Here is a 25,174-nt window from a genome sequence, read left to right as displayed (position 1 = left end):
CCATGAGACATGTTTGCTGCTTTAATTGCCACAGATTCCTGGAAGTTTGTGTGTTTGGAGGATTTTCTTTTTTTTTTTTTTTTTTTTTTTTTTTAATAAAAGAAAAAAGTCTCCCACTCCACCGTGGGAATGTGGAGAAGATGAAATTCCTGCAGCCGCGTTCACGCTAGAGTAGGAGTGTGTTGAGGGAGGAGAAAATGTGCTGATGTAGCTTGTCAAAAAGAAACAGAGCCAGAGGCCCCCCTCCAGAAGAATCCAGGGTTGTCCTCCAGGGCGCCCACATGAAGCCGAGCCCTGCAGGCGCTGTGAGCAGCCGCCCTGCTCTCTGCCTTGATTCTCTTCCAATTGAGCCAATGGGAACAGAGAGGGAAACAGATGACTAACTTGTATTCTCCTGTAGTCCCAGCAAAACACCTTGTATGTAAATGGTGAGAGTTTATATTGCTTGGAGTCTGTGATTTTCTTACTTTTCTTAAATTTAAACCCATAATGTATTTATAATTTGGATTATCTTTAAAGACCTAACATATCATAAGCATATCCATCATTAAATTCTTCATAAAACTTTGTTGTTTTTAAAAAAGCTCTTCTGTTTAAAACATATTTGTAAAACAAGATTTGGATGACATGGAAGCAATCCCACCACCCCGAGGCAATGACTTTTGCATTTTGGCAGAATCATTCCAGGCCTCTCACTGTAGACGTGGTTAGTTGGACGTAGTTTTACACAAACAGGGTCATAATATACATGGCATAGCAATTATTTTAACCTACCACCATATTTTTTGTCTTTTTGTAGATGTATGTAGACATACATCAATGGTGGACATATCAGTTACACAGCTCTAACAAAGTATAACCAAGTCCTTATTAATTGTTATTTAAATTGTTACAATTTTATTATAAACTATGTTGTATATTTTAAAATACTTGTCAGGTTCTGTCTTTAAGGGAAACTGGTAGAAATGTTCTTGCTGGGTTAAAAGGTATGAGTATTTTGAACTAAAATATATATATTGCCAGGGGACCACTCTTTTGCAGGGCTCTAGAGTAACGTTTGAATTGGTTCTTTTTTACTTTAAAAAAAAAAAGTTTACTTTTTTTTTTCTTGAGATGGAGTCTCGCTCTGTTGCCCAGGCTGGAGTGCACTGGTGCCATCTCAGCTCACTGACACGGCCACCTCCCAGGTTCAAGCGATTCTCCTGCCTCAGCCTCCTGAGTAGCTGGGACTACAGGCACGCGCCACCACGCCTGGCTGATTTTTTTGTATTTTTAGTAGAGACAGGGTTTCACCATTTTGGCCAGTCTGGAACTCCTGACCTCAGGTGATCCGTCCACCTCAGCCTCCCAAAGTGCTGAGATTATGGAGCCATCGCACCTGGTCAGAAAAAAAAAGAAAAAAAAATGTGTGTATATATATATATATATATATATATGTATCTTTGAAGACTCTTATTGTGTGGGACAGGAACTCCTGATCTTTGAATTTTCCCTCTTGAATGCTGCAGTGAAGGCCGGCAAGGGTCTGGCCTGAGGTGCAGGGGGAGGCTGCTTTCCTGCCGGAATAGCACCGAGGGGGGCCAGGTACATGGCTGCCCACCCTGGGAACAGGGATTCCCGCCTGCTCCAAGCACCTGGCATTTTGTATTCATGGACGCTCCTGTCAGCCTGGCCTCGGTGGATGAGGAGCTGCAGGTCTGCAGAGTTCAAGTCTAGCAAAAAGGATGCTGCCCGTGAGCAGATTGTACCTGTCAGTTGGCCAGAGTGTTGTGTGGTAAAAATGGCCATGTCATTGTTTCTGTCATGTCAGAGTGGCTTGTGTGATGATTAACACATTTGTGTGGGTGCAGTTTGATGGAACTGAGGCCAAGCGTGGAGGCACAGGTTGGGGCTTTCTTTTCATATTAGGCCAATGATCATCTCGAGCTCAAGTGATTCGTCCAAGGTGGGACTCTGGCTGGCAGAGCTGGTTTCCTGTCCCCTCCTCCTCCTGCCGTTTTATTCCCCAGCCACACAGTGAGACGCAACAGTGGCGCTGCTGTTCTCTAGCAGTCGGCCCAGGAGGGTTGTCTCTAGTCATATCTCTGCTGCAGCACAGCCATCCCCTCGGAGGGGCTCACTTGAGCCCCTGGTCTCCTCATGCTGACACCTCACACGCAGGTTTCTCTGTTCCCATGGGTATCATTTCCCCCCTCAGTTATGTCCATCTCTTTCCTAGTTCACATCCTTTACTTCCTAAAATTCACCTCTGTTACCATTGTTACTTCAGGAACCCTTAGAAATAATTCCCCACGTGGCCTAGGATCCTCCTGCACTAGTATTTTGGAGCCAGGATTATGAAATATGCAAAGTCCAGAGCTCACCCCTACCCCACGGAACTAAGATCTCGGGGGGGTGAATGTCCATAGCTCATGCACGTTGACGTTTATGAACCTCTGCCTGAGAACATTTAGAATGTTCTCAGAAACACGTAATGTTCTACTGCTAACCAAGGATTTCTAAAATTATCGTGTGACTCTCACAATAAACCAAGTTGTATAAGTTTCCTCCTTTTATACATGATGACACTGAGGCTTCAAGAAAGGTCAAACATTGTGAATAAGTTCTCAGCTAAAGTTTGAAATTTAGTTCATGTATCCATGAGTTAGGGCCCATTTGGCACCTTTATTTACGTAGAGGATGCAGAGGTAGCGACAGGCACGCACCTCACACTAATGAATTCACATTTCGCTTGCTTGTGCTCAGCACCGAGGATGGATTGAGTGGCGCTGTCACATTAAGGCCGTGTTGTTTTCTGTGGCCAGGAGGATCCCTGTTCAATATACACTAATGAAAAGTAGCTCGTTGTAGAAATTGTATACCTATATTAGTTTGGAGTCCAGAGACATAAAAATTTCCACTGTGAACTTTTTTCTTTTCCAGAAACGTAAGCAAGATTTGGATTTCCTCTTGCACAGCAGTTTCTTTTCCTGTTTTTGCCCCATATCTCTGTACTTTCCATCCCCTCCTGTTGGAAAATGATTCAGCCTGGAGGTCACCATGTGCAGCACATCCCACCTGTACTCAGGCTTCCAGAAATCCCGACTGTTTTTGTGGCACTTGACACACACAGGCAGAGTTGGGGTGAGAGGTGCTGTTGGAGTTGGAGCCGTTTACTCCTCATGATGGTGTGTGGCAGGGATGCTGGGCATTCCCGCCTTCCTGCCAGTACTTCCTGCCAGCACTCCTCAGCAGTTCCACTCGGAGCCACATGCTGGGTGGAGCAAAGTGTCAACACCAAGACATTAACCAGTATCAAATATTAATGACTTACTTTTTATACTGGTAAAATATATGTAATGTAGAATGTTCTATTTTGACAATCTTTAGGTATATAGTTTAGGGGCATTAAGTACATTAGGTACATTGTACAAACATCGCCATCATCTGTCTCCAGAATGTTTTAATCTTCCCAAACTGAAACTCTGTACCCATTAAAGCATTTTGTATTTTTGTTGCATTGAAGCCAGACTCCAAAAAACAGCTCTGTACCTAAAAGTATAAATTTCTACAAAATGTCCTTGGGGCATGTTTATAACTGATATATCTATGGTCTTGCTAGAAATTTCAAATCAAAGGGTGAGGGATTACACTTTTTCAGAAAGCATGAAAGAATTTTCCCTTGCTGATGGAGTTTGTTGAGTCTCTGGGGAGCTCCTGGACCCTTCCCCAGGCCATGCGTGAGGCCGACCCTCCTCCCCTGGCTGCTTCTCCCAGCGCCTGTGTACTGACCACACCCCAGGCCACAGGCTCCTAGGACCTGGAGTGGGGAGGACGTCAGGGTCAGGAGCGAGCCTTCTGTGATACTGGCATCAGTGCTGAGGAGGGGCTGTGCCTCTTGGGCTTCAGGTGGGTCTCCGAGTTAAATTACCCTAAGAAAGAGTACAGCTCAGAGACCTAAGCCACCATCTGCTTGGGGCCTTTCTGAACTAGGAAGCAAGTTCTGTCTTGAGATGTCAGTCTTCTGTGATGTGTTGACATGTTGGCAGCAGGGGCCAGGAGGACTTGGACACATTGGTGCTTCATCCACCAGAAGTTGCTGCCAAGCAGCTCCCCTGCAGACACCTCTCCTCCGCCCTCCACACAGGAGTGAGGGGAGGACTGACAGCCCAGCTCCCACGGCCGGCGAGCCAGGAGGGTCCCTGCCCACAGCGTGGGGACTGTGAGGAGGAGATAATGAACAGTGGAGATTTGGGACTGGTTGACCCTCATCTCCAGGCCAGGTGTGCTTTTCTTTCACTCTTATCATTCTTCCCTCCTTGTCTTTGGTGTTCTGGACCACAGTAAGGTTCAGAAAGTACAGTGTACCCTTCAATGTGTCATGACAGCCCCACACAGGTCCCTGGGGCTGCCTTGGCAATTGTGGAGCTTCAGGCTCCCGCCGTGGCACCTGCTCTCCCCCATCCCCTGGGCTCCCGCCGTGGCACCTGCTCTCCCCCGTCCCCTGGGCTCCCGCCGTGGCACCTGCTCTCCCCCGTCCCCTGGGCTCCCGCCGTGGCACCTGCTCTCCCCCGTCCCCTGGGCTCCCACTGGGCAGTGGCTTCAGTTAGGGTTGGCATTCAGTTGAGGCCTCACCTAAGGGCTCCAAAACAGATCTGCTCCCAAGTGGCAGCTAAACAAGACCCCCTTGAGCTGGAGCTGAGGCCAGAAGGCCCCTCTGCCTGCACTGCACCCCACCTCAGGGACGACTCAGAGACCACCGAAGGAGAGTGTTCATTGATGTTCTTGCTTCTCAGGAATGAACGAAGGGGTCACTGTCATATCATGTCTCGTAGAGAATGCGCAGTCTGGTCTTGTGACCCCAACACCTTCTAGGGTTTTTAGTGACTCCTTAATGATCAAATGGAAACTTCTTGTGGTTAACGCTGACCTTCTTGTACATTGAAAACATGAAAGTACACGTTTTTGATGTTCAGAATCATCAAGGTGGAGTTGGACACCTTTGACCAATTTTAGATTTGGCTTTGGAGGCTGGTTTGTCAGCGTTAGGAAATAAATCCCTATCTTGGAACAAGTCTTTTCTAACCTAAACAGTTTTCCCAACACATGATTCTTTCTGGCTACCCTCATTATCACACGTATACATCTAAGCACATTTAGTTAATAAACATTGAGTCTCCTGCTGTATCAAAATCATAGGAATTTGAAATTGAAGGAGTTTTAAAGGTCCTCCAATCTAGCTTTCTTCTTTACAGGCGAGGAACCAAAAACCCAGCTGGGCCAAGTCCAAGGGTCCCACTTAGGTGTCTGACAAATATATTTAAATTGTGGCATATGCCCTTGTAGACTTGGTTTTCTTATAGACCAAAACCTAAATGATTTAAACATTTTTCAAGAAAATTTCTTGTGAGCAGATAAAAGAACCAGTAGAAATTCATATGTCTGAGCTGCCTGCAATCTATCATCTGTGGCAGAAAATTTATGTCTCTCCATCTCATTGCCCAGGGACACACATGGGGGCTCCTGGTGGTGAGCTGTGGTCGGCACTCAGAGTGTTTTGAGTAATGACTCCATCCCAATCTGAGTGGCGTTTTCCTCTAGGTTGATAAAGCCCAAAGAACCATACAGAGCAGAGGAAAAAAAGAAAGAAGAGAATTTTACAAAGGCATCGCCTCATGTAGCTCTGCCAGGCCTGGGCTGTGGCCACGCATCTGGGCAGCTGCTGCCCCGACATTTTCTCCTGCAGGTCCTGGGGAGGTGGCCGGTTTGAGGTTAACAGGTGATCAGCTCTGGATCTTCTAGTTACCTGGAATATGCTGCTGAAACCCTTGAATAAGCCTTCACTGACCTTCCTGCCTATTGCCAGGCACTTCTGAAATTAAAATAACTTCTGCTTTACCCTTTGTTACTGTTAAAATACTCATCCACCTGGTGTTACGGAGCCAGTGAATTCTCACACGCTGGCCCTGCCACAGTTGTTTTACCGTTGGATGAGAGGAGTCTAATGGAGCCTCCAGAATGTCTGGCCCCTGGTGGGTCGTTCCCAGGGCTATAGGTGGAGGGAGATGCAGAAACCCTGCACATTTCACAGAGAATTTGGGCAAATAGGTTCTGGATCTGTTGTTTCAGGCTGGGATTTAATGAGCTCTGTTTCCTGCTCGTGGATGGTGATTTTGTTGATTGCCTGGAGACCAAGAAAGAGTTCCAGGGGCTGCAGGGCCTCACAGAGGAGTCAGAGGCGTTGTCTCTGTAGGCTTCCTAAGCCCCCAACAGCTGCCCGCCTGCCCTCCACTCCTCAAATCCATGGTCTCCAATACCTCCTCTCAGAGGTAGGGGTGGCTGCCTTTTTTATATAGGACAGAACTGAATCCTGGAGAGGCCGTGTGACTTTTCAGAGCCACGTGGCCATCAGGTGACAGACCAGGATCCGTGTCTGGGCCTGCTTCCATGCCTCCTCCCCACAGCTGGACTTACAGGTGGAGAAGCAGCTGTGTGCTCAGGCGCTCATGGGTGGAATCATGGGCCTGTGCACACCAGGCCCATTATACAGGTCAGAGGCCTAAAGGGACACCTCCTTGGACTGCAGAGTGCCCACTGGGAACAGACTCTGGACGAGAGGCAGTGTACACAGAAGCCCTCTCAGGCCTGCCAGAGTTTGCCCATCCCAGGAGGCTTTGCCCTCAGCACCCTCCTCTGGCCTCTGGTGGGTTCATCCACCTGAGCCCGGATTGTTTGCCGGTGCACAGGACAGCTTCTTAGAAATGGCCAGAAGGTGGCTTGGGTCGTTTCTTTTTTAAAATCCAGGCTCTTGACGATATTAAGCAGAAAACATGGGGTAGAATGGTGTATATGATACATGACCCTTATAATAAAAGGAGAGATTAAGAATCTGTGCTCACTTTTGCTTGTAAGTTGTACGAATAGACCCTGGAGTAATCTGGGAACCTCTTGAAAGTCATATCCTTGGGATGGGGAGTGACTAATGGGTTTGGGGTTTCTTTTTGGGGTGATGAAGTGTTCCAGAATTAGGTGGTGGTGGTGGTTACACAACACTGAATATACTAAAAAACACTGAATTGTACACTTTAAGAGAATGAGCTCTTTGGTAGATAAATCATATCCTACATGGTATTTCAAACCAGCTGTTTAAAAATTCTTCTGACAGCAGTATTTCATTTGCCTTTGAGCCTCTATCTAGGTGTTTAAAAACTGATCGAGTTCTGCTTGGTGCTTGACCTTCTCTCTGGAAGGAGAGGTCGGGTCTCATCTGGGAGATGAAAGAACAGCCTCAACGACGGACGGGGGACTCCCAGGGGACGTGCTTGAAGCTGTTTTTGTCCAGAGGGTCTGTGCGCCAGGCAGGGAGGACTGTGGGGCCAGGGTGACCTGCCTGGCCTGGTGGGCTCCTGACGTGGTGTCAGTTAGCGGGTAAGAGAAGACATCTGGAGTTAGCTGTCCTCGTGGTAGACTCAGAAGAAAAAGGTGTTTTGCCCATTGGTATTTCATGCTGGCCCCTTGAGGAGCCCCAGGAGCAACTGCCTAGCATCCTCTGCTAGAAAGGCTTACTGTTGTGTTTGTGTTGGACTCAGCTTATCATCCAGAGATACGGTCCCACAGCTGCGGTGGCGCAGTGGCCCTTGGTTGAGTTAGGAAGGAACCATTGGCCAGTCCGATGAGGACCACGTTGACGTGCCCCAGGCCTCTTTGTTGGCCTTCTGTGATCTCCTTTAAAAAGAAAGAAGAAAACGGTTGGTTTGATGTGTTGGCAAAATTTGGCCTTGAATGCTGGCCATGGGAATTGCTGAAGGAGGTCTGCTCTAAATATGGGCTTTTCTGCCAACGGTTATTTCTGGTTGTTTCAATTACAGTTGTGCTCTCTGGTAACTGCTGTAGTGTTGTATAAATACAGGGTGAATCACAACCAGGCCATGAAGCCAGATCTGGGGTGGAAGTGACACGTGGGCAGCCCCTAGAACTGGGTTCTCTGCCCCAGAGAGTGTCAGGCAACCCCGGGCTGGGCAACGCCTACCTTGCTGCCTCTGCTGGGATGAGCACTACTCTTCCCATGTCTGCATTCACCCCCCAGGTCACTCTTGTGTTCAGATGCCCCAGCAAGTCCACACCTCCCTCACGAACGTGGGGAAACGGTAGGGATTGCACCCGCCTGACTTCCCCGCAAGCCCATCTCGTGGGCTTGTCTCTCCCACATGCCTGTCACTTGCTGTACCCCGGCCATCCCAGGCCAGGGTGACTGGCCGAGAGCTGCCCATCTTCTGAGATGCAGGCCCCTGAGAAGCCGTGTGAACTCTGCCCTGCATCTGTGTGGGAAATTAGGGGCCCATGTTTCCTTTCTTTTTCCTTCATCATAAAAACTCAAGAGCAATAGGTGGGGAAACAGAGAGACCCTTCCTCTGGCGAACTGGGCATCCGAGGAGGGCTGGGATGGTTGTGCTGGCACAGTTGGGTCGAGGCGCCTGTACTAGGAGGGTCCTGCCGGGTTTTGGGCTGTCAGAACTTGGGGCAGGGCAACTTCTGCTGCCCAGGACGGGAATTGCAGGTGGAAGGCACCATGAGGAGGTGCCTAGGTCCTTGGAACTGCATCTGTGCTCCTCAAGAAAGTATTCTTGTTGGAAGAGACACCAGCACTGGAATCCAAGTCTCTGTTCCCCAAGACACCCATGTAGGTTCAGTCTTTGAATCTGAGTCCCTGACGCAGGCAGTGAGATCAGGCCACCTCCACGCCCTTAGGGAGAGGCCAGGGTGGGGCCAGCCATGGGACCCAAGAAGGTTCACATAATTAAACAAAATTGTATCTAATTAACTGTAGCAGAGACTGAGGAGGGATAGAAATACTGTAAAATGAGAGGGATATTACTGTGTCCAAGGCATCTTACTTCTAATATTGAGCACGGTCGCGCGCCACGTAACACCTCCCGTTGGGCACGGTCGCGCACCACTTAGCGTTTCAGTCAGTGATGGAGCACATATGCAGCAGTCCCGTAAGATTTTATTTTTTCTGCACCTTATCTATGTTTAGAAGTATTTAGATACACAGATACTCACCATTGTATCACAGTTGCCTAGTGTATTCAGCACAGTAACACGATGTATGGGTGTGTAGCCCCAGAGCAATGGGCTACTCCACGTAGCCTGGGCATCCAGTGAGCTACATCCTCCAGGTTGTGTGAGTGCGCTCAAGGATGTTTGCATGATGACCAGTCACCAAATGATGCGTTTCTCAGAACCATGGCAATCTCTCCGAACGGGGCCTGACCCTGCAAAGCATCAGGTCAGCAGTGGTCATCCCTGGGCCAGGGTGGAGCCCACAAATGAACACAGGTGCCGCTCCCATAGTAGGTGCTGTGGGTACCACACAGGGGAGCCAGGAGGTGGATGGGGGGGCCCGTTCACACCAAGAGGGAAGGGGCTAGGGTGTCCTTTGTTCCTCGTGACCCTCCCACAATGCCTGAATTGCGATGATTCACAACTAAATCTAACCGGAACAGCCCAGCCGCACTGAGGGCTGCTTTGGGGATGCTGCGTTGTCCCCCTTGCTGAAGCTCATGGTTACATGTGTCCACAGTGGGTAGAATCCTTCTCACACACACGCCTCGTGTGTAGCCTGAGGGACACAGCCCTGTCTACTCTGAAGCAAAATGTGAGAAACAGTTAAGCCCAGTGTTCCAAGTACATTTCTCACTGGGAGGGAGTCAGCTGTGCAGAGCCTGACAGCACCCACCCACGCGTGCCATCCCCTCAGCCAGGCAGAGCAGGACACTGACCTTCCAGGGCCAGAGAACAGGTTAGAGCAGGCAGCCCCATGTCCTTAGGAGCAGCCCCACTGGTGTCAGACCATTAGAGTAACCCTTAGTGGATTCTTCCTTGATTTCTCTTTTTTTTTTTTTTCTTGAGACAGAGTCTTACTCTGTCCCCCAGGCTGGAGTGCAGTGGCGCAATCGGCTCACTGCAAGCTCCACCTCCCGGGTTCACGCCATTCTCCTGCCTCAGCCTCCTGAGTAGCTGGGACTACAGGTGCCCGCCACCACGCCCGGCTAATTTCTTTGTATTTTTAGTAGAGACGGGGTTTCACCCTGTTAGCCAGGATGGTCTTGATTTCCCGACCTCGGCCTCCCAAAGTGCTGGGATTACAGGCGTGAGCCACCCCGCCCAGCCCTTCCTTGATTTCTTAAGGTGGTTCTGAAGACCAGAAAAGATGAGAAGATACTGATTAGCAGGGAGATTTGGGGGCCGAGGGTAAAATTTTATGTTACTTTTAAAACTGGGGGAGTAGCAGCTACAGACGAAATGCTGATTAGCACTTGCTTGCGTATCACGTGTGATTATATGTAGCCCTCAGTTATCCCATCGAGAGCAGCAGCTATGAGTGCACGTGTGCACAGGGATGTGTGTGTGCATCCTTTGGGGGGGTGTGCAAGGGCTGTGTGTGCATGTGTGTGAGGGTGTGCGCGTGTGTGAGGATGCATGCATGTGTGAGGGTGTGCGAGCATGTGTGAGGGTGCATGTGAGGGTGTGCGAGCCTTGAGGGTGTATGCGTGTGTGGGTGTGCAAGCATATGTGAGGGCATATGCGTGTGTGAGGGTGCATGCATGTGTGAGGGTGTGCGAGCATGTGTGGGTGTGCGAGCATGTGTGAGGGTGCATGCACATGTGAGGGTGTGCAAGCATGTGAGGGTGCATGTGTGCATGACGGTGTGTGAGCCTTGTGAGGGTGTATGCATGTGTGGGTGCATGTGTGTGAGGATGCATGCATGCGTGAGGGTGTGCAAGCATATGTGAGGGTATATGCGTGTGTGAGGGTGCATGTGTGGGTGCATGCGTGCGTGAGGGTGTGCAAGCCCGCGTGAGGGTATACGCATGTGTGGGTGCGTGTGAGGGTGTGCAAGCATATGTGACTGTATATGCGAGTGTGAGGGTGCCTGTGTGGGTGCATGCGTGTGAGGGTGTGCGAGCATGTCAGGGTATATGCGTGTGTGAGGGTGTGCGAGCATGTCTGAGGGTATATGCGTGTGTGAGGGTGCATGTGTGGGTGCATGCGTGCGTGAGGGTGTGCAAGCCCGCGTGAGGGTGTATGCATGTGTGGGTGCGTGTGTGAGGGTGTGCAAGCATATGTGACAGTATATGCGAGAGGGTGCCTGTGTGGGTGCATGCGTGTGTGAGGGTGTGCGAGCATGTCAGGGTATATGCGTGTGTGAGGGTGTGCGAGCATGTCAGGGTATATGCATGTGTGAGGGTGTGCGAGCATGTCTGAGTGTATATGCGTGTGTGAGGGTGCATGTGTGGGTGCATGTGTGTGAGGGTGTATGCATGTGTGAGGGTGTGCAAGCATATATGAGGGTATATGCGTGTGTGAGGGTGCATGTGTGTGTGGGTGTGGGAGCATGTGCGTGTCCCTTGTGTTCCAGGGCTGCTGGTCATGTGCCTAGAATAATTTCATCTAGGTCGTGTGACATTCAGGTAATGTTGGCTCCAAATTTAACTAGATAAGAAAAGCAACAAAAGTTAATTTCATTAATATTTTAAAATTACTTCTTAATACATTAAAAATTAGACAGGTGTGGTGGAGCATGCCTGTAGTCCCAGCTACTCAGAAGGCTGAGGCAGGAGGATGGCTTGAGCCCAGGAGTTCACAGCTAGCCTGGGCAACAGAGCAAGACTTCGCCTCTTAAAAAAAAAAAATCACCTTCTGAGGATATGTGAGAGACCCTGTGAGTGTGTCACCTGTATGCTCGAGGGAATGACCCACTCCTCCCAGCGAGGCACATCACACCAGATTCTGCTATCCAAGGATAGAGCAAGGGATGTGCTGGTAACTCCCCTTAGACTGTATGGGAAAGGTACAGACTTTCAGATTGTAATTCATCAACGTCGATTTTAGTCCAATTTGGTGAAGGAGAGTAGATTAAAAGCAGAGAAAAGATTAGGCTCTCTCACAAATCTCTCTCTTAAAAGACATTCAAGGTTGCAACACCTAGGAGGGTAAGTTCATGGGACTAGCAGTTAGGTTCCCGCAAAGCTGGAAGGAGCCACCTTATTTTTTAGCTTTATTGAGACCTAAGTCAGCATCCGACCATTTAGGTTGTCCAAGCCAGTGTTTTTAGTGTGTTCACAGAGTTGTGCAGCCATAGTCAGTTTAGAACATTTTCACCACCCCAAAAACAAGTCTCTGCCTGTTAAGTAGTCTCTCCCCATTCCCCCAACCCCCAGCCCCTGGAACCTCTAACCTGCTTTCTGTCGCTCTGCATTTCCCTGTTCTGGAAATTTCACGTGAAAGGAATCATACGGTGCATGGTCTGGGTGCCTGGCTTCTGTCACTCAGCATGATGGTGCTTTGGTGGCGTGTCCGTGGGGTCATCCATGGTGTGGCTCGTCCGTGTCATGGCCTGTTTCCGCGCCTCGCTCCCGCTGCGGGTTTCACGGCCTTGCTCCCTCTGAGGGTTTCACTGCCTTGCTCCCGCTGCGGGTTTCACGGCCTTGCTCCCTCTGCGGGTTTCACCGCCTTGCTCCCGCTGCAGGTTTCACGGCCTTGCTCCCTCTGTGGCTGAGACCCCACTGTATGGACAGGTCACCCTGTGTTCATCGGTTGGTTCATCAGTTGATGGACATCGGGGTTGTTTCCACCTCCTGGCCACTGTGAATGATGCCGCTGCGAATGCTCACATACAAGTTTCTGTGAGGTCACCTGGATTCACTGCAGCCCGGCAGTTCCTCAGAGGCGTCAACATAGAGTTGCCCTAGGACCATCAGTGCCGAGGCTGAAAGGAATAAGAGCGGACACCCTCGTCTTGTTCCTGACCTTAGGGGGAGGTGCCCAGTGTTCCGCATTGAATGTGACTTCAGCTGTGGGTTTTCCTAAACGCCCCTCATCTGGTTGAAGCCCTAGTGTTTCTTTCTCACATCAGAGGCAAATGCATTGGGGTGGGTCTGGTTTGGACAATAAATTTCCTCTGGTTTGGACCAAGAAAAACAGAGTTCTTTGACCGCTAACATATATGTAAAAAGAAAGTTTGTAAAAACAAGAGTTAAAATGCTTCTAACAGTGTGGTCATCACTGCACAGGACACTGGAATTGGCATTCGGGGTTGTGTCTGTCCATGTGGTTTCGTTGTATGTCATGTGCTCTCAGCTCAGACAGAGACATCCAATTGACTTCTGACTTGGGGCATTTAAACTTCATACCACAGCTTTATTTAGAGGACTTATTTATTGTATTTTCCACTGTTTTTATTTAAAAGTTGTATAAAAATTGTTAGGGCTGGTTTTGATATAGAAAAATCATTATGACTGGTTTTGCTAAGTCCATACACCTTTGTGGTCTGGGGAGCGGTGAGTGCTGAAGCAAAGGAATGTCTGCAGAAACAAACAAGGGTGTTCTCTCAGCTTCAGAGACTGATGAAGCAGGATGAAGTGGGCTCCCGGGCAGAGAGTACTTGGAGAGAGAGTGGCCGCACAGTGCTCGAGCTGGGGCTGTGTGTACGACCGGCAGGATCACGTGCTGAGCCTTGGGGGACTCAGCTGGGACCATTAGAAGCTCTGGGGCCTGCTCCACCCATTCTGACTGGTGCTGCCCTCAGGAAACCATCTCTGCCTGAAACCCATTAGGGCCAGGGAGAGTTGTCTGGCTGGAAAGGAAGAAGACGGATGCTGGTGGTTTTTTGTCTTTCGCTTGTTGTTTTAGAGCCACTGAGAAGGTCAGCGTACTTTTCCACTATGCCTGTATGCGGCTTTGCTCTTCTCCATGCCTATCTGCAGCTTGTTTTGCAGAAGTCTCTCTGGCTTTCTCTCTCCCACCCTTTCACATTGCAAGGCCCTCCACTTCTTCACTAATTTTCCTGCAGATGACGGAGCCCTGCGACCAGGAACCTGACTCTTCAGCTCAAATCTTGGTTTGAAAGGGGGACTTCTCTGTGCCCCTGTTGTCGGCATGCCATGGTAGAGAATGGATGGCCCACGCAGCTGGCCCCTCATGAGACCCCAGCCATCTCATTCCACTGGGAGCCACGTCAGGACGAAGGAGGACTGGGAGGGGCGTCTGGCTGCGTGGTGTGGGGCCTGCAGTGTTGTGGCACACGCAGCTTCAGCCAAACATCTAGCCCTGTACCTAGAACTAAGAAATAAAACTATAACATCAGATTTAAAAGTTCTCTGGGAACATTTGTCCTGCCCAAAATAGTAACTTGTCATTTTTAAAAGAATAAAACAGAGCTTTGATAAGCCCCGTGGATGCACCTGACACGAGAGAATCAATGGTGCAGGTGGATTTGGGCTCAAGGTGGTTTTCAACACCCAGGTGATGTCTAGGTGACTGGAAAGGGTGTCTGTTGGACTTGCACCTTTTTTCCCTGTGGAAGCTATTTTTATGCAGTTTTGTATTTGTTCTCAGAACAAATTGGCCAAAAACACTACCTTTAAGTGTGACTTGATTTTTAGTGTACATTTTCAGATGTTATGGGAAATGCATTCACAGTTGAGGTGTCAAAGCAGGGGAAGATGGCTTCCTTGGCAATAACAAGCAAAGGCAAACATGTTTATTTTTGTATCTGTAAAAGCTGGTCGCTCTTTAAGTGTAGTTCCAGCATCTAAAGTGGACACAGAACCTGTTCTTCAGGGCCTGTCACACCCTCACTGTCCATGTGAGAGTTTGTCCCTCCTTGTGGATACTGGGGGCAGGAGCTGCCTTCAGGCACACAGGCATCAGCTGCCACCCTTCAGGGAGGGCTGGGGGCCAGTGGGCAAGTGGCTGCTGTTCCTCAGAGCAGCTCGTCAAAGGCAGCCCAGTTGGTCACAGGCATTTTGGGAGGAGGAGACAGAAGTTCAAGGTCAAAGACAAGGTCGCAGTTGTGGAAGTGGGAGGGGCCCAGAGCACTGTGGGTGAGCAGCTGGGGAGCTTGGGGTGAGACTCTGCTGGGCCCTACCCAGCTGTGTTGCTTCCCTGCTTTCTGCCTCAGTTTCTTGCGTAACAAAAGCAGGTGGCAAGATGAGGAGTTGAACACGAGGCCTGCGAGAGCTCTGAACTCTGCAAAGGGCTTCTCCACTGGAAACGTGTTGTGTGCTGCAGCCCTGGGTCTGTTTGAAATGCAGGTTCTATCAGCGGGGCTGGGCTGCTTCCCTCCCAGGGACAGGTCTACCGGGCAGCCTTGGGCAGTGGATCTCTGAGGTGCTTCATCCAGCTGCCTGTCCCCACACATGCTCTGCACAGGGGGAGAGGACGCGAGGAATGGGGAGCCGATGCCCATCAGGAAGGCCAGGAGCTGAAAGCAGCTTCCAGCCAGGAAGGAGGGAAGGGCCAGGCTCCAGGTTGGCAGCAGAGAGAAGCTCTTCCCCAAGCAGGAGGCAGGGGCACAGTCGCTGATGAGGGAGGATGGGGAGGAGACCCTCCTTGTTGGGAGAGGGGAGGTAGATCCGATCTGCTGAGTTTAGGGGAAGGGCACACCTACCGGACTTTGGAAGCAGAGATGTAGGGTTGCTCCCTCCCTTTGAGACCTGTCACCAGCTGGCCGCAGCGCTGTATGGAGATGAGGCCTTCTTGAGGGCTCACAGCGGCATGTCACCGTGTCCCTGGTGACCTGGGTGTGCAATGCACCCAAGCACGCAGGGTCCCCCGGTGCCCAGAGCGTGATGCCTGCCTTGGCGTGTGTGGCATCGGGACCACAGCTTCCGCAGACATCCCAGCTGGGGACATCGGCTGACTTGGCTGAGGGACCAGGGGACAGACACCACCTCTCCTATCCCCCAGGGGCGTGTGACCTGGGGTCCCTGGCATGCTTGGTGCACACACCAGTCTACGGTCAGTGTACGCAGGGCTTGTCTGTGGGTGTCATTGCCACACAGACTGAGCCTTCAGGGTGGCGCCCCTTCCTGGCCCACCCCCGCAGGCTGCTTCTCCGGTCGCAGCCCATGTTCTAATGTCGAGATCGCGCGTGAGGTTCAGACCTTTGAACAGCCTGACTGTAGGAGCCGCCTTCCAGCCCGCTGGAAACGTGCGTGTGAGGCCGGGTTCTTACCCTCAGCACTGCTGACGTTCTGCGCTGGACATTTCTTTGCTGTGGGGCATCTGCATGTGGAGAGCTATCGGTGCCCCGGCCTCTGCTGTCTAGATACCAGGAGCTTCCCCCCAACTTGTGCCAATTAGAATGTCTCCAGACATCACCACATGTCTGCTGGGGGCAGAACCACGGGGCTAAGTTGTGGCTGTCCCCTGTGGTGGGCTCTCTGTTGTGATGAGGAAGGGCTGGGCCTGCAGGTGGACGTCCGGCCCCCTGACAAAGCTTGTATGAGGGGACCCAAGAGCCTGTGGTGCCTCTGCCAAGCTCACTGGCAGGAACTGGGGGTCAGGCTCACTTCCTCCAGGGAGTGGGGAGCAGCCCTGCCATTTGCGGTGCCATAGAGACAGTTAAGCTTGAGAATGTGATTGCCGTTCTGAAAACACCCAGAGGCCGCAGTGTGCCCGGCAGAGAGCAAGGACCCCTGACCACCGGCTGGGTTGGTCCTGGGAGGGCCCCGGTGATACCTGGGGGGTGTACACCATGGAGCAGAGCCTCCTCCAGTGTAGCCTGGGAGCCTCTGTGAGGCCACAGCCCCCAGGAAGAGCACAGTGCTGCATTCCCAGGTGCTGCCGGCTGCGCCCCTCCCAGCTGCGTGTCCTCACCTGCCGGCCCCAGCTGTCGCTGCCCACGCCCTGCCTGCCTCTCCTGACAGGAACTTCCCAAGCAGAGGCCTCAGGTAGCAGGCGCTCCTTGTCCCCTCTGCCACCTGGGCTGCTGAGGGTGTATCACCAGGAGTGAGCTCAGGACCTGGACACCCAAGCCCAGGTGAGCAGCTGACACACCAATGGCCATTCCCGTCCCGGGCCCTGGTTCACCCAGCCAGGCCTCTGTGCCACTTTTCCACGGGACATTCAGCTTCCCCTTTCCTCTCCTCTCTGCAGACCACTGAACTTTCGTTCTGAGGCACAATGGGGCGTTCCCGTCAGGCTCTGCCCCCCTAGACAGAGGTGAGACCAGCTACGGCACAGCTCTTGGCAGCTGGGTGCCCCTCTGAGATGGGCCAGGCAGCACGCTCATGGCACCTTCATGTGGCTTCAATTCTCTGGCCATTGCATTCCTAACCAAAATATAAACTTCAGGATCGTTTTGGATTTTGCATTACCCAAACCATTTGCTTTTGATAATAACAGTGTCTTGGCAGAGTTCTTGCTCTTGGACTCCGTGTGGTGATGGTGACCGCCGTGCACGGAACCCATGGCATGGGCATCCGCCACTGTGCTTGTTAACTGAGGAGGAGGTGCAGTCGCTGCCCGGAAGGCACAGGCAGTGGCCAGGGGCAGCAGTGAGACCACACCGTTGTGAAACTCATGCTCCTAACAACTCGCCTGCACCTCTCCTCTTGGCTCTGCAAGTCTTTGCATGGAACAGCTGATTTAACGTGGGCCCAGGGCAGCAGGGGACCCTAAAGCAAGCCTCCTGGGTGGGGGGAGGCAGTGGCATGTCACTGGGACTCCCCTGTCCTGTTGGCCTTCTGTGGTGGATTTGGGGGCCAGTGGCCCGCTGAGGGCAGGACACACCCTGGCAAGGGAGCGGGCGTGGGCGGGAGGGCATGTTGCTGCAGTCTAGGGCATGTGAGCTTGGCCTCCAGAGATGAGCTCATCCTCCCTGGGCCTTGCTGAGCGTCTGAGGCTTCTTCACCGAGGCTCACCTGAGTGACTTCAGCGCCGGGGGTTTACCAAGGAAAAACGTTCCCCTCCAGTTTGAAAAAAAAAAAAAAAATGACTGCAGCCAACCCTCAGGCCCTTCCTGTGAAGGTGCTGTGGGCCACACCACGTGGGCTTGGCTGTGGGCACTGGGCCGGCTTCTGGTGCTCACCAGCTGATGCGTCGGGAGGTGTCGGGGGCAGTGAGTTCCCACTGGCGCTTTGTGACAGGCTCCTCCTCTTCGTGGCCTCGGAAAAAATATATGAAATGGGAAACTGTCAGTGGTGGTTAGTGCTCTCCCTGGGCTCTGGCGTGTCCTTCTCTGTCTCCCTGCAGGTCGCCACCCGCCCAGTGAGTTCTTCTGCCTGTCTCCTGCTCTTCCTTCCTCACTCCCTCCCCAGAAGAGGAGCTACTGGCTTGACACCTTCACACTGTTTTGGGTGGACCTGCTCCTACACATGGGAGGAAGTGATGGGGCAGGGCAAAGGAGGGGACCTTGCCATGCTGTCGGCATGTGTCCATCTGCCCAGATTCGTGGACGTCTGTTTTCTGCCTCATGTGTTCTGTAAAGACACTTGTGCCATGTGAAGGTGGCACTCCTTCAAACTCTGTGAGCTCCACCCTCCCATCCTGGCAGGAACCATCTGGGGTGAGAGTCGGCGTTGCTAGGGAGACTGGGGGCTGGGACATGGTTTTACCAAAGTGCCATGGTCGGAGGCCTTCCTAAAGCAAAAATGATCAGAAAGCCAGGCTGGACACTGGAAATGCGCTTGAGGGAAGATGGCTGCAAGCTGGGATTCTCCAGGGATGCTCCTCTCTATGGGTTCTCAGCATGCAGGCACAGAAGGCTGGAGGATTCTCCCTTTCTTGAGAGGAGACACTGTTGGAAGGGCAGGTGCAGCCAGGAGCAGGAGTCGGTGGTGAAGGAGTGGGGTTCCCCTCAGCCCAGCAGCAGCGGACACTGAGCTCGGAGGAATCTGGCTGGAAGGCCCAAGTTTACAAAGCCTGGACCAGAGGCATCTCCTTGAGGAGTCAGACCTGTTCTCCTCTTAGAGTGCAGCACTGAACCTACTGGGAGCGGGTGGTTGAGATTTTTATAGAGATCACTGCAGCTTTTCCAATGATATCTCCACTGGGACAGACATGGGGATGCAATCCAGGTCTCCCCATCTCACGTGTGCTGGGTGGGTCTTAGGAGCAAACCACAGCTGTATCTGCAAGAATCAAGCACAGAAAAGAAAGTTTCTTGTCTAAGACAATATGTGGTCTTGCTGGACCATGATTATCCCATGCCTCTGTGTGTGTGTGTGTGTGTGTGTGTGTGTGTATGCACACGCTTCCCATTTGGACTGTGATTATCTTGTGCATGTGTGTGTGTGAGCTTCCCATTTGGACTGCGATTTATTTCATGCATGTGTGGTGGGTGTGTGTGCACATGTGTGTGCTTCCCGTTTGGACTGCGATTTTTCCTGTGTGTGTTTGCATGTATGTATGTGTGTGTGTGCTTCCCATTTGGGCATTGATTTATCTCGTGGGTGCGTGTGCTTCCCATTTGGACTGTGATTTATCCTGTGTGCGTGTTTGCGTGTATATGTGTGTATGCTTCCCATTTCGGCTATTTATCCTGTGTGTGTGTGCATGCATGCATGTGTGTGCTTCCCATTTGGACTTTGATTTATTCTGTGTGTCTGTGTGTTTGTGTGTATGCATGTGTGTGTGCGCTTTCCATTTGGGCTGTGATTTATCCTGTGTGTGTGTGCCCGCGTGCATGTGTGTGCACGTATGCATGTGTGCTTCCCATTTGGATTATTTATCCCCTGTGCATGTGTGTGTGTGCTTCCCATTTGGACTGTGGTTTATCCTGTGTGTGCGTGTTTGCGTGTATGTGTGTGTATGCTTCCCATTTGGGCTATTTATCCTGTGTGTGTGTGTGTGTGTACATGTGTATGTGTGTGTATGTGTGTGTGTGCGCTTCCCATTTGGGCTGTGATTTATCCCGTGTGTGTGTGCGTGTGTGCGTGTGTGTGCTTCCCATTTGGGCTGTGATTTGTACTGTGTGTGTGTGTGTGTGTGTGTGTGTGCGCTTCCCATTTAGGCTGTGATTTATACTGTGGTGTGTGTGTATGTGTGTTTCCCATTTAGGCTGTGATTTATACTGTGGTGTGTGTGTGTGTGCTTCCCATTTGGGCTGTGATTTATCCCGTGTGTGTGTGTGTGCGCGCTTTCCATTTGGGCTGTGATTTATACTGTGGTGTGTGTGTGTGTGTGTGTGTGCACGCGCGCGCGCACGTGCTTCTCTTTTGGGCTGTGATTTATCCTGTGTGTGTGTGCACATGCCTGTGTGTGTGTGCATGCATGCTTCCCATCTGGACTGTGATTTATCCTGTGTGTGTATGTGTGTGTGCGTGCTTCCCATCTGGACTGTGACTTATCCCGTGCATGTGTGTGTATCCTGTTTGTTTTCTAAGGATCGTGAAGGGCTGTTTACATAGATCATGTTTTGCCTGTGGCCGCCGCGGCACCAGGGAGGAGCATTTTTCCACTTTAGTGAGCTGTTTGCCCTGTCGGGAGCTCGGCCTTCTCCACAGCAGGCAATGAGGGGGGAGGCTTTCTTCAAGGCTGACTTGTACTTTTATTCTTTCCCATATTTCCCTTCCAGTCCCGCACAGAAATGTTTGCCTGCACCCCCTTCCATAGCAAGCTGCAGCCCTTCTCCCCACCCTGGCCAACATTAACTGTTGCCTGCCTTTCTCTTGAGGCTGAGACCTGAGTGGGAGCTGAGACTCAGGACCAGCTGCTGTGTGGTGGCTCTCGGGCCTTTGTTCTGTTTTTAATGTTGAAGGGAGTAGGAAGTATACATTGTAAGTTGGCATTTACTTGGGCATTAGGTCTGGAGTTGAAATAAAGAGGTACTGGCTTTGAAAAACAGGTATATGTTCTGAGTGTAAAGTAAACGTGGGATGTATCCATCAGTCTTTTCTTAGTGGGTTGAGCTCTTTCAGGTAGAGACACAAGGAAAAACTTGATTAAAAGCACATGTGTGTACTTTAAACCTGATCAAGTTATCTGCTCCAATTCCTACTTTATAATGTTGTTCCCTCCTCTTTAATGTGCTTCTCTATACCACGGATACTTTCCAGGAAAAAATGTGAATTTGTGTTTCAAGACGTATCAGTTGCCCCCCACCCCCGCTTTTCTGTCTTCATCCTGGCTCTAGGAGCTCTCTCCTCCTCCACCTCTGGGTCACCTCCCACAGACCCTCCGGGTACAGCCAGCCTCTTCTCCCTTTTGGAAGCCACCTCCTCAGGAAGCCCCTCAGAACTTGCCACACTCTTACCAGCATGACATCCCAGCAGGCACTCACCTCCAATGTGACTGGAGCTGGTGGACATTTGGAGTTTTTGGATTTAGAGGTACCACCTGCAGAATTTCAGAGAAACAAGCCTGAGGGTGTCTCTCAGAAAACATAACACAAAACACAGCAGTCGTGCATCCAGGAAGTGGCCACCCCAGCTGCTCAGTGGCGGGTCTGTGTGGTTGTTCGCTGTGGTGTTTTTTTGTGATGGTGAACATTTGGCAAAAGCCCAAACACCTAATGTCCCTGCGGTGGTGGAACGAGGGTTGTGCCCTGACAGAGAACGTGACTCAGATACACTCAGCAAGAGAACAATTACGGAACAGTGTGCGTAGTGCACTGAATCGATACGTCACCCCAGGTTCTGATGTCGAAGTCCTAGCCCTCAGTCTGACTGTATCTGGAGACAGTGTCTTTAGGGGGTGATGAAGGTTAAATAAGATCGTAAGGACGAAGCCCTGACCTAATCAGACTGTGTCGTAAGCAGAGGAGGAGGCACCAGAGATCTCGGTCTCCCTGCCACGTGGGGATACAGGAAGAAGGCAGCTGTCTGTAAGCCGGGAAGAGAGCCCTCCCCAGAAACTGTTACAAGCCGGACCTTGATATGGGACTTTCCAGCCTCCAGAACTGTTAGAAATAAATGTGCATAGTTTAAGCTGCACCATCTGTGGTATTTTGTTATGGCCGCTGGAGCTAAGACACACATTATGTTCACACTTCTGCAGCAAAACAATTATTAAAGTGTTATGTGTTTCCCATCTAGCATGTGTTAGTTGCACTAAATAGTCTGGGGAAGTGTGTACTAGACTGTTAGGAAGAAGGATTATGGGGCATTTTCTTTCTGCTTTGTTTAATCCATTTTCTCCAGTCTGTTTAGTCTTCTGATCCCAGCCTGGCCTCTGTTGGGTGCTCTCCCTGAGCATTGGTTAGGAATGAACAGACAAATGCATGAGAGATCATGTTTTTTTACAATGGACATTTTTTTTTTTATTTTTTGAGATGGAGTCTGGCTCTGTCGCCCAGGCTGGAGTGCAGTGGTACAATCTCGGCTCACTCTCCGCCTCCCGGGTTCACGCCATTCTCCTGCCTCAGCCTCTCGAGTAGCTGGGACTACAGGCGCCCGCCACCAAGCCCGGCTAATTTTTTGTATTTTTAGTAGAGACGGGGTTTCACCGTGTTAGCCAGGATGGTCTCGATCTCCTGACCTCGTGATCCGCCCGCCTCGGCCTCCCAAAGTGCTGGGATTACAGGCGTGAGCCACCGCACCCAGCCTACAATGAACATTTTTTACTTTGGCAAAGGGGCATGGGTTTTGGGAGGTTATCCTCCTGCATCACCCAGTGCTGGAGTCGGAGCTCCTGGATAATGCTGTTACCCCTGAGTGTGAACTAAATGTGGGCTGCATCCATGAGTCTTTTCTCAGTGCACTGAGTTCTTCCAGGTGGACATAGTGGAAAACGTGATTAAAAGCACTTGTGGGCAGGTGCGGTGGTTCATGCCTGTAATCCCAGCACTTTGGGAGGCTGAGGTGAGAGGATTGCTTGAGCCCAGGAGTTGTCGATCACCCTGCTGTCACCTAGCGGCCTCCAGCCTCAGTTCCCCTCTCTGTCAAAGGAAGTCGTCATTGGCCTCAAGGTCTGGGAAGACCAAGGAGGAAATAGGTGGGAAGGTTTTATGGAGCCTCTGGGACTTTCCTGAGGAGGTGGGAGTTCAGCCTCCACGTCAGCCCTTGGTTCGTGGACCTGGAGAGGATACAGGGCCTGGAAAGAACAGGCTTGGCTGTGAACTTGCTGCAGCACAAAAGGTGAGGGCTCTAGGCACAGCCTTGGGGTTTTACAGGAGCCCTGTGGAGTGAGGGTGGTACATCCCATTTTATAGATGTCAACACTGGGCTCAGCACTGGTCCAGGCAGTGGGCGGTGGCTCTGGGATAGGGCAAAGCTTCCCTAACTCTACAGACTGAATGCCTTTCCCTGTATCCTGAAGCCACAAAGCCAAGGCAATTCGGGCATTAGTGACCTGTTGTGACCTGGAAACTGCCCCAGGACTAATAACTCAGTGGCTTCTGTGAGGCAGTAGCCATGCGCTTTGAAGGAGGCTGAGCAAACTTGCTGGGGAGCAGCTCCAGAGCCACCTCCAGCTGAGACACCATTTCCTTTTGGCAGAGAAAAGTGTGTCTGGGTTCGCTTTATTTTTACTTTGAGGGGTTTTTAGGAAAGAGCCATTGTTTGAAGAAATTCATTTAACAGAAAAAAGCATCAGTGTTTGCCTTCTTCCCCTTCCCAGGTGGGGTCTCCCCAGGGTTTGCCCCCTTTTTTTTTTAGATGAAGTCTTGCTCTGACACCTAGATTGGAGTGCAGTGGCACAATCTCGGCTCACTGCAACCTCCGCCTCCTGGGTTCAAGCGATTTTCCTCCCTCAGCCTCCCGAGTAGCTGGGATTACAGGCGCTCGCCACCATGCCTGGCTAATTTTTGCATTTTTAGTAGAGATGAGGTCTCACCATGTTGGCCGAGCTGCTCTCAAACGCCTGACCTCAAATGATCCACTCACTTCGGCCTCCCAAAGTTCTGGGATTACAGACGTGAGCCACCGTGCACGGCCGCGTTTGCCCCTTTCCAAGCAGGTTGGGTTGGTATCCAGCTGTGACCCCTGCCCTTGTAGTTCTGAGTCTTGTCTTTGTCCTCCACGACAAACTTTTTCCATAGCCCCAAGCAACGTGCTTCCTAGTGTGCATCACATGCTCATGATGTTGGGAACCTAGTGGCTGAACATGGTGGTACTTAATTTCTTAATAAGGACTTTCTACATTGGGTAGTTGGTTTGTTCATTTTTACATCATGCTGGTTCCAGACAACTAATAATGCCTGATATTCAGGGCTCACTTCTCCAAGGCCGATGGAAATGTTCTCATAAGCCTGGGTCCAAGCATATGGTGACATTTATGTTTCTGGTTTTTTGTGTGCTTGTTTTTACCAGAGCAACAGATAATGTTATTTGCTACTTTACTTAGAATGGCACAGGGATGTGACTTCGCATTAGGCAATGATTTCTTAAATATAACAACAAAAGCACAAGCAAAAAAGAAAAATTAGATAAATTGGACTTCATCAAAATTAAAACCTGCTGTACGTCAATGGACGCTATTGAGAAAACAGAACCCCTCACAAAATGGACAAAAGCATTTGTAAGTCATGTTTCTTAGAAGAGACTCTTATTCGGAATATGTAAAGAATACTCACGTCAATAGAAAAGACAACCCAGCTGGGCATGGTGGTGCATGTCTGTAATCCCAGCACTTTGGGAGAACGAGGCAGGCAGATCACTTGAGGTCAGGAGTTCAAGACCAGCCTGGCCAACCTGGCAAAACCGTCTCTGCTAAAAATGCAAAAATTAGCCAGGCACGGTAGTGGGCACCTGTAATTCCAACTACTTGGGAGGTTGAGGCACTCAGCCTCAGAAATGGCCTGAGCCTGGGAGGCAGAGGTTGCAGTGAGCTGAGATCACCTCACTGCATTCCAGCTCGGGCAACAGACTGAAACTCTGTCTCAAAAAAAAAAAAAAAAAGACATACAACCCAACCCAGTTGAAAATGGGCAAAGGATCTGAATAGACATCTCTCCAAAAAAGATATTCAAGTGGCCAATAAGCACATGAAAAGATGCTTAGCATCACCAGTCATCAGGGAAATGCAAACCACAGTGAGACACCGCTTCACACCCACTGTGATGGCTGATAATGACAGACAGAAACAAGTATTGTCAAGAATGTGGAGAAATCGTAACCCTCAGAACTGCTGGGGGGAATAGAAAATGTTTCAACCGCTGTAGAAAACAGTCTGGCAGTTCCTCAAACAGTTAGACATATGAGCAGTAATTCCACCCCTAGGTGTATATCCAGCAGAAGGGAAAACGTGTCCACACAAAAACTTGGTTCTGCGTCTCTGGAAAGCCCAGACTGAACATCCAAACCAAAAGAGAAACACGCTATCGTTCTTCCCCCTTTTCAAATGAACATTTGATATAACACGTATCAGATGTACATAAGTGTTCACAACAGCATTATTCACAATAGCCCGAAACTAGAAACAACCCAAATTAAATTAATGGATGAATAAATGTGGTATATCAACACAA

General features: G+C 50.6%; 1 protein-coding gene and 2 long non-coding RNA genes across 3 annotated transcripts in view; 2 read left to right on the top strand and 1 right to left on the bottom strand.

The window, feature by feature from the left end:
• Positions 1–25,174, top strand: part of PARD6G (par-6 family cell polarity regulator gamma) — a 90,283-nt gene that overhangs the window by 50,530 nt on the left and 14,579 nt on the right. The window lies entirely within an intron of this gene.
• On the top strand, positions 13,548–18,012 carry LOC124904337 (uncharacterized). Its single transcript, XR_007066430.1, has 3 exons — positions 13,548–13,687; positions 13,835–16,807; positions 16,924–18,012. It is a non-coding gene; the product is annotated as an uncharacterized LOC124904337 (long non-coding RNA).
• The window catches only part of PARD6G-AS1 (PARD6G antisense RNA 1), a 30,509-nt gene continuing 23,887 nt past the window's right edge, over positions 18,553–25,174 (bottom strand). The window contains exons 2-3 of the long non-coding RNA NR_028340.1: positions 21,050–21,105; positions 18,553–18,899 (exon numbers count right to left, since the gene is read on the bottom strand). This is a non-coding gene — a long non-coding RNA (PARD6G antisense RNA 1). The remainder of the gene's footprint in view (positions 18,900–21,049; positions 21,106–25,174) is intronic.

This window comes from Homo sapiens, chromosome 18 (assembly GCF_000001405.40).
Source record: "Homo sapiens chromosome 18, GRCh38.p14 Primary Assembly".
Classification (NCBI taxonomy): domain Eukaryota; kingdom Metazoa; phylum Chordata; class Mammalia; order Primates; family Hominidae; genus Homo; species Homo sapiens.
This window is presented reverse-complemented; position numbering and strand designations above follow the sequence as displayed.